Here is a 9980-nt window from a genome sequence, read left to right as displayed (position 1 = left end):
TTGCTTTTTTCTTAAAAATGAACAGTTGTCCACCAATCTTATTCTTCCATACGGAGGGTTCCCCGCCCCCCGCCAAGGAAGAGTCATCCTACAGATATTGTATACTGGCTATTGTCCTCCTGTTATTTGCTGAAACCATATCCTTGTTTTACTTCCAAGGAATGCAAAAATCCCAGGAATTCCCCAGCAGTAGGGAATGTGGTCAAAACATGAGACTCAGAATCACCAGCCCAGTTTCAGTGCTGACTGTCTCCTTATGCACAGTGTAACCTTGGGCCAATCCTCAACTCCTTCTGTCTTTGAATCTCCATCTGTGAGTTGGGAAGATTTCATGTCATGCCGGCTTCTCAAGAATTTAAAAAGAAGCTTCCAGAAATCAACATCTTAGATAGAAAGGCAAACTCTTATTCTTTTATTACAAATGATTATTGGGGAAGAAAAATAGAGAAGAAAGGGGTAAGAAAATCTCATGCCAGTGACTGATTTTTTTCCAGATAATGTGTATCTCTCTTTATTTGCTGGAAAATTCTAATCAAGGAAAATACTATGAAGACAAACCACAACAGATTAAATAAACAGACCTATGTGTTTCTATGTAGCAAGGCATATACCAATATAAAATCATCAGTACAACATTTTCAGCATAAGATGGGAGAGGAAGCTAATTAATTATTTATATATTTTATTATTGGTTTTTTTTGCTTTTGTTTTTGTTTTTTTTGTTTGTTTTTTTCAGTCAGAGTCTTGCTCTGTCGCCCAGGCTGGAGTGCAGTGGCATGATCTCAGCTCACTGCAACCTCCACCTCCCGGGTTCAAGCGATTGTCATGCTTCAGTCTCCTTAGTAGCTGGGATTATAGGTGCCCACCACCACACCCAGCTAATTTTTGTATTTTTGGTAGAGACAGGGTTTCTCCCTGTTGGCCAGGCTGGTCTCCAAATGCTGATCTCAGGTGATCCACCCACCTCAGCCTCCCAAAGTGCTGGGAATACAGACGTGAGTCACCGCACCTGGCTGTGTTGGCTGTTTTTAAATTCTGACCATCTGAGGCAGAGTGAGGTGTATAGGCTGGAAACTGTACTTTGACCTCCTAAAACTGAGATCTCTGGTTTTCTTCCATATCCCATATTACTTTCCTTGTCACTGGGGTCACAGATGTGTTGTCCAATAGAGGGGAAAGAGCAGAGGGTGCCCTATGATCAGAACAATGGCTACTTAAGAAGGTGATGCAAATGTTTAAATATACAGACCAAGAAGCTGATGGATGGAAGGTCTCTTACCGAGTACTGCTTTCCTGTCGCCTGGCTGTCTGAAAAGGGGACACCTGTCCTTGAAACTCCAAGTATCCTTTGTCAAAGACCCTCTTTTGTTGCCAGATCATGAGAGTCTTCTCACATCCCAAATGTTCCAACAAAAAGGAATCAGATACTTTGATTTGATGAAAAATTATTCAGACATTAAGATGGAAGCCTGGGAAAATTTTCATAACACAGTGCTGAGTACAGCATTCTATATGAAGTGGCATACACTATATGATTTGTATTATCTATTTGTGCACACATACACTTGGAAAATATTGTAAAGAAATATATACTGATATTAACAGTGACTACTCTGAGTTATGAGATGTTTTGCTTTCTTTTTTATTTTGTCACATTTTTGGCATGAACATTCATTATGCTTTTGAATCAAAAGTACGGTGAGAAATAATAAGGTGCTTCTGTTTAAAATGGTATAATTTTCACTTTAACAGGGAGCAGGTTTTATGGCTAGTGGTAAAACAAGCATGCAATCAGGTATGTTAAAAGTTCTATATTAGAGAGACCTGATAGAAATCAGGTCAAAGGGGTTAGTAACGGATGACATAGAGTCAACGTTAGATGAGAATTCATTGTTTTACTTCTAAGACCAGAATGATTGTAAAATCTAGAATAGATCTTAGCACTCAGCTAGACTTAACTCCCTAATTTACAGATGAGGAAACTGAATCTTAGGGAAGTAAAGTGATTTTCCTAAGTTCTGGAAGTGAGATACCAGCAGTCTAAGCTTTCTAGACAGTCGTTCCTTTTTTACTACCTGGCCTCTGAAGCCACCTAGTTTGGCTCTGTTGCTTGTTTACAAATCTGGGTAAGTCTGAGAGATCCTTTCTGATGCAGAGTAATAGTGGAGGGTTTATTCTAACCCCATCTAAGGGAACTTCGGAAAACCAAATTAGTTCTAAGACAGTTGTGGGTGTCTGCTCCTCTGAAATAAAAATCTAAGACCCAGGATCTGACCTGGCATCTGCCTGAAGCCTCTTTTCTGTGTCAAAGATCACCTGGGGACCAACTGGACTGATAACATCGGACAGTATCTGGAAAAATTTTAGGGACATATTCTAATTTGGATCATTTCCACCAGTTGTCATGGCAATGTGGCAGCACTGTCTCAAAGTCTGAATCTGACCATTGCCAGAAAAGGCCTTAATTCTTGGCTTATTTATGATGTGTTCATCAGAGAAGTCAAAGTACTTGAATGACATTTTCTATCAGCAAGTACATACCAAGTGAGCACTGCTCATGAACTCAACGTGGTGTTGAAAACCGCAGAACCACAGAAGGACCGTAGGATATGTTTCTGCTCTCAGTGGTGAGTACATTGGACTGAGAGTTGAAGGAGCAGCCTCAGGTTTGCTCCTAATTGGTTCTGTGCCTCTGGGCTTGGGTTGCATCTTTAAAGCAAAGGCGACATTACTATGTAATACATTATTTCAAAGCAGCTAAAGGCTGAATTGTAGAGAAGATTAACACACATGATTTTTCATCCAAAACACTGTGGAAGAGCATGCTGGGTTGCCTACCTGATAAGAGAAAGGTCAGAGAGTAGTGGCTTAGGTCAGGTGGTTCTCCACAGGGGCGCTGGGGAGGGGAGGTGGGTTTTTTCAATTAGACATAACTTGGGAAGGATTTGATTTTGAGGAACTATGTTGGGTGGAAGTAAGTCTTGAGCAAGGTTTATGCATTCTCATGGTTAGCATGAGATAAGAGTTCTGAGGCAGTTCACGGTGAATGCTGCATTTAGAAGAGGAATTTATTTTAGGGAACTTAATGTTTAGAAATTCCCTCAACAAAAAGAAGAGTTCAGTGAGAGCAGAGTTAGTGGTTTACTGTTTTTCCACTAAGTAAGTGTATAGGATAAATATTATGTGCCTACTGTGTGCCAGGCACTCTTCTAAGTGTTTATTGTTCATTTATTTTCTCGAATCTTCACAAGAATGCTCTAAGTCAGCAAATGGAAGTACTAAGAAATCAGGTAGTGTGTCTAAAGTCTCACAGCTAAGTGAATGGCAGACCCAGGACTGAAACTGATCATTCAGATGCTTCTTTTCTGTGTCCTAGTATTTCTAAAAAGATATTTGTAGAAAACACGGCACTTGTCTCTAAGAGATATTAACACTGGTCCTTCCTGCTCCATTGAAATTATGGATATTTCCATAGACTCCCTGGTCACCCACAATGATTTTGGGGATGGTAGATATTTTTCTATACCTTGCATATAAATTAAACTTAACAAGGAGCCATTGCCAACGCTAATATCTCAAGAATCTGTGGTGGATTTTAAACGCGTCAGCTCTGCCTGTGAAATTCTGCGCACACAATCAAGGACAGATGGGGTTGAGAGCTGAATTGCAAGTGAAAGCTGGAATGTCCTTATTCCCATTCTGAAGCACCAGGGCTCTGGGAGGTGCATGTCTCCTTCAAAGCTTCCAATACCTTGCCAGTCTTATGTGATGCTCAGAGAGGCGAGAATGACTCCTCCTCATCATTACCAACAACAACCATCAATAGTTATTGATCACCTCTCCTGGGCCAGATGCTTGGTGATGGGTGGAATACCAAGACGGGTAGGATAAAACCCCTGCCCTTAAAGTTTAGGCTCTAGAGACAGATAACCATAATCCAGGGCAATATCTCCCACGTGTCATAGAACTTGATATCTCTGCTTCTGGATCTGGCCAGTCTACTTCTTAAGCATCTCCTGCATAGCTCCAAGATGAAACAAAGGGAAGGAGGCAGAAGTTCTGGCCAGTCGATGTAACTGTGGCTGCATTTTCCATGCAAAGCAGGTTTGAGTCAAACTAGGCAGTTAATCCATCCTGACAATCGGGGAAAGTGGCCAGGCTGACACTGGATAGTTAAAGAGGGTTTTTGAAATGGTATGTAATCATCTCTCAGTATCTGTGGGGCATTGGTTCCAGGACCTCCTGCAGAAACCAAAATCCATGAATGCTCAAGTCTCTGATATAAAATGGTGTGGTATTTGCACATAACCTATGTGCATCCTCTTGTATACTTTAAGTCATCTCTGGATTACTCTTAATACCTGATACAAGGTAAATGCTATAGAAGTAGTTATCGTACTTTATTTGTTTTTTACTTGTGTTATTTTTTATGGTTGCATTGGTTTTTTTTTGTTTGTTTGTTGGTTGGTTGATTGGATTTTTGTTGTTGTTGTTGTTTTGAGACATGGGTCTCACTCTGTCACCCAGGAGTGCAGTGGCGCGATCATGGCTCACTGTAGCCTCGACCTCCTGGGCTCAAGCAGTCCTCCTGCTTTGGCCTCCCAAAGCACTGGGATTATAGATGTCAGCCACCACACCCAGCCTGTATTGTTATTTTTTATTGTTTTATTTTCCAAATATTTTTGATGTTGTGAAGGGATGCCAGTTTTGGTGGTTGGTTGGGGGTAGGGCCTGAATTTTCCTAACTGAATTTTCCTATCACTTATTTGTTGCTGAGTTTGCTACCGCTGTCCCTACAATAGAACTGTTCAATGGGGTTCCAGCTGATGTTGATTTTACTTTTTTAGAGCCTCCTATTCCCTTGGATCTGAAACCAGCACTTCCCTTGCATGTTTACAGACACGCAGTTCCCTATCTTTATGGACACATATCCACTCCTACAGGGTCCACAGTGCCCTGTAGATCATGGCCGTAAAGTATCAGCCCTGATTCCTCTTTGGCTTTGTTTTCAGAAGCCTGTGACTTCTGAACCAAAGTCAGCCTCCAATCTGAGGCTGGGATAATGACATATGCTGAATGGAAGAAGTTGGAACTGATTGTTAAAATGTTTGAACAGCACAGGAAACAGGAAGCAATGAGAAACAAAAGCACCCTCCAGCTCTGAGTCACAGGGCCGTCTCCTCTGCCAGGCCATGTCAGCCACAGCCCAGGGTACATGTAATTGGGTAATAGATATTATTTGGCCCGGAGAAAAAGCTGTCCGTCTGAGGATGTTGTATGCCAACCACTTTAACTAGAAAGATAACAGAGCCACTATCAAAGAGCCTCAAACTTCAATTTCAGTCTCAGAGAGTTCTCAACAGGATGCTCTGGCTAGAAATTATTAGTTCTTTGCAAGGGCTCGGAGTCCACTAGTATAGACTGAGCTGTTACTTTTTACTGGCAATGCTTCATTTTTAAGTTTTGTTCACTATTATTTAAATAATAAATCAAGAATCTTCCACAACTTTGCCATTGGGCCTAACCACTTACATAATCACAATGTACATAAAGTGTTGTTTTTATGTTTTTAATTGTGGCAAAATATACATGACATAAAATTTACCATTTTAACCATTTTTAAGTGTATGGTTCAGTCGTGTTAACTATACCCACCTTATTGTGCAACTGACCAATCTCCAGAAGTTTTCATCTTGCAAAACTGAAACTCTACACCTATTAAACAATCACTTCCCATTTCCCTCTTCCCTCAGACCCTGGAAACCACCATCATATTTTCTATTTCTATGAAATTGACTGTTATACTTACATCATATAAATGGAATTACATAGTATTTGTCCTGTGGTGACTGGCTTATTTCACTTAGCATAATGTCCTCAAGATTCATCCGTGTTATAGCATGGGTCATAATTTCCTTTATTCATCCATTGAGGGACATGTAGGTTGCTTTCACCTTTTAGCTATTGTGCATAATGCTACCGTGAATTTACATAAAGGTTTTTTTGTTGGTTTTTTTTTGAGACAGAGTCTCACTCTATCGCATAGGCTGGAGTGCAGTGGAGCGATCTTGGCTTACTGCAACGTCTGCCTCCGTGTTCAAGTGATTCTTGTGCCTCAGCCCCTCAAGTAGTTGGGACTACAGGTGTGCAGCACCACGCCTGGCTAACTTTTGTATTTTTAGTAGAGACAAGATTTTGTCATGTTGGCCAGGCGGGTCTTGAACTCCTGACCTCAAGTAATCCACCTGCCTCAGCCTCCCAAAGTGGTGGGATTACAGGCATGAGCCACCACGCCCAGCCCCAATTTACAAAAAGTTTTATATTCTACCTTTTTACTTTCTGTCATAATATCTGTGTGTATATACATATAATATAAATTAAATATATTATGTATAACATATTATAGAATATAAATTACATGTTGTATATGTAATCTATAAATATAAATTACATGTTATATACGTAATCTATAAATATAAATTACAGGTTATATATGTAATCTATAAATATAAATTATATATTTATTTTTATATATACAGTTTTTTCCAGTTTGATATATAGTCTTCATCATAACCTTTTTTTACATCTGTTTTAAGGGCCACATGACAGTCCTTCAAGCTCATGCACTTAAATAATTTCTACAGTTGGACATTTGAGATGTTTGTAGTTTTTCTCTAAATCCTATGACAAAAATTTTGTACCTATGATTTCCCTCCCTTCCCCCATATTTTAGCATACCTTTTTAGATAGATTCCAAGGAAGTGAAATTACTGGGTCAAAAGCAACATACATTTTATAACTTAAAAGATAAAAGATAGAAAGCCGCATTGCTTTCTAAAAGAATGGTATTTCCCTAGCTACTAACAGTGTATGTGAATTTCCATTCCACAGTACTCACAGTTTTTTTTTTTATTCTATGATTAAAGGGAGGAAGTTGAGTGCTCATTCATTTTTAATGGACAACAATTTGATTATTAATAGTGATGGGCATTTGTGAGGAGACCCCAGACTTGGCCAGCCTGTGAATACTAGCATGGTTACAGTAAACTGAAAAAATATATCTATTTGATCTAATATGTATTATCCCTATAATATATGAGTATGTATTAGAAACATGCCCAAATAGTACGTAATCCATAAATGATAGCTACTGTTATTGTTGCTGTTATTCTTATTATTGCCCAACATGTGATGATTCTTAGTCTATACCTGCTTTCCCAGGCCCTCAATTTCCCAAAATCATGATTTCCCAATTTTTGGGGGGCATCCCCAGTTAGGTGCTGTCTCGGAACATTCCTGTGAGGCTGCTCTACCCAAGCCCTCTCCCTCTAGCGCCCTCTATTGGACACAGGTACACTATGCCGGAGGCTGTCAACCCTCAGAGTTCTAACACTGTACTTAGGGTGGAGGGCATGGTGGCAGAATTGTCACCTGGACTCCAAAAAGGATACTGCCTTATGCCCAGAGTCTTGCAAATATCTTTATTAATACAGTTCCTCCATCTTTTGGCCCTAACCCCCTCATTCCCTAGAGGCTCAGGCCACAGGCCCTGCATGTAAGTGGGGGGCAGTGTGCCATGCTCCCTGTAGGGAGTGGACAGTGGCACCCCAGAGATGTCCACCTCCTAATCCTGGAACCTGTGAGTATGTTGCCTTGGTAGTCCCCTATGGTAAAAGGGACTTTGCAGATATGATTAAGGATCTTGAGATGGGGAGGTGATCTTGGAATATCTGGGTGGGCCCAGGGTCATCCCGTGAGTCCTTACAAGTGAAAGAGGGAGGCAGAAGGCTCAGAGTCAGAGGGAGAGTTGAATATGCATTGCTGCTAGCTTTGAGGGTAAAAGTGGCTAGGAGCCAAGAAATGCAGGAGATCTCTGGAAGCTGGAAAAGGCAAGGAAACAACCATCCCCCAGAATCTCCAGAAGGAATGCAGCCCTGCCGACACATTCATTTTAACCCGGTGTGATGTATTTTGGACTTCTGACCTCCAGAACTGCAAGATACTAAATACGTGTTGTTTTAAGCCACCAGATTGTAGTAATTTGTTACAGCAGCAAACTATAGCGATGAATACATTCTGCTGATGTCTTTGTTTCCTATCCCTATTTCTCGCTCTAGGTTTACATTTTAAAACTGTTTCCATCTAGGCCGCGCGCTGTGGCTCGCGTCTGTAATTCCAGCACTTTGAGAGGCCAAGGCAGGAGGATCACTTGAGGTCAGGACTTCGAGACCAGCCTGGCCAACATGGTGAAACCCTGTCTCTACTGAAAATACAAAAATTAGCTGAGCATGGTGGCATGCACCTGTAATCCCAGCTACTCAGGAGGTTGAGATTAGAGGATTGCTTGAACCCAGGTGGTGGAGGTTGCAGTGAGCCAAGATCATGCCACTGCACTCTAGCCTGGGTGACATAGCGAGACTCTGTCTCAAAAATAAAAAAAATAAAATTAAAAAACTATTTTCTTTTTTTTTAGCGTTAAATCGAAAGTTCCCTAGTTAATTCCCACAATTAGGAGGGGCCCACCAGTTCCACAAATAGGAAATCTCTGCACTGCTCTTGCTCGTAAAGTGTATTTGCTTTTTCATAAATTGCTTATGTTCTTTGAGCCACCAATGGTTTAATGTCAGAATAATATAGATCATTAGAGCCTCTCAAGATCCCACAAGGAACTGCACTTTCTCCTGTAGTTAACCATCCAGTCATCCATGCAAGAAATATTTATTGGATGCTACCATGTATCAGGCACTGAGCCAGTATTGAGATGTGAAGACACAGTGCATAATCTAAGCCTTTACAGAGGCCACAGATGTTGGGTTTTTATGGCTTGAGAACAACATACATTGTTTCTTTCCAGGAAGCTAATTGGGGTACATGGAGCCACTTTGACTAAGTAGCAAGGAACAGGAACTGCACACTGGTTCCATCTTGGCTTCCAATTTGTATTCAGACCCAGGCAAGAGTTAAAGAGTTCGATGATAGATAAGCACAGATGCAAAACAGTACAGTCCAGTGCCTCTTTGCTTAGGCTAATATCTGCCCTCTCTTTATCCTCTCCAGCCCTGCCTTCCTGCCTTTGACGCAGGGAGCTAAGGGTCTGAATGAACCCTGTTGGAGGTTGCAATTAAATCTTTGTGGACAAAGGCACACACACACACACATACACAGAATCCTCAGATAACAGGAGGCAATAAATCCAACAGCACATCCACGTTCAGAGAACAGTGTCCCTGCTGTCTTGCTAACAGCTGCCAATACCTCACTGAGTGCCTCACACCAACATGGGCTCCAAGGTAAGATTTTTCTCTCTCCGGACAAATTTAATCTTTCCTTGTGATTTGTGTCTCTGTCAGAGGATTTTGACTGTTAAGTAAAGTTTACTATTGATTTGTTGGCAAATTCCTGGTTTTGTTTGTTTTTGTTTTGGGATTTGGGTGTGTGTGTTTCTCTCTCTTTGTAGTACTTACTTCACTCACTATGTTTTTTAATTTTCCATGGCTTGTCTTTTATTCTTATCCATACATATCCTAAGTCAATTTGTATTCAGAAATACCTCCTTTATATAGAGAAATGAAGGATCTTAAGTAATTGCATGCATTTACTGGTTAAAACTTAACTGAGAATTTGGTTCACTTAGGACCTTGGTCACGTTAATATGTAGTAGTGAGAGGGTTCTTCCAGCCCTGGGCTTAGAACAGAGTACCTCAGTGTTTGGGGTACTCCCAACACCTGAGGCTGACTATTGAATTTCAGTGATAATCATTTAAAATTATTTACTTCTTTAATTACAAAAGTAGCTCATTATTGAATATTTAGAAATACACAGAAGATAACTGAAGTCATTGATTATAAATAACTGGCATTTGAGTATCTCTCTACTCTCTCAAAAATGTGCCCATATATTTATATTTAGACAATTGAGATAAAGTTGAAAACACAGTTTAATTTCCCTTTTTTACTTAACGTTATAGTAATAGTATTTT

At 40.4% G+C, this 9980-nt stretch overlaps 1 protein-coding gene across 7 annotated transcripts in view; it reads left to right on the top strand.

Annotated features, from left to right (window-relative positions):
* Positions 9217-9980, top strand: part of SLC18A1 (solute carrier family 18 member A1) — a 38282-nt gene continuing 37518 nt past the window's right edge. For all 7 annotated transcript variants that reach the window (NM_001438746.1, NM_001438745.1, NM_001437771.1 and 4 more), the window contains exon 1: positions 9217-9290. The gene's annotated coding sequence lies outside the window, so the exon portion shown is untranslated. The remainder of the gene's footprint in view (positions 9291-9980) is intronic.

This window comes from Homo sapiens, chromosome 8 (assembly GCF_000001405.40).
Source record: "Homo sapiens chromosome 8, GRCh38.p14 Primary Assembly".
NCBI classification, from domain to species: domain Eukaryota; kingdom Metazoa; phylum Chordata; class Mammalia; order Primates; family Hominidae; genus Homo; species Homo sapiens.
The sequence above is the reverse complement of the archived record's forward strand: the minus strand, read 5'-3'. Positions and strand labels throughout refer to the sequence as shown.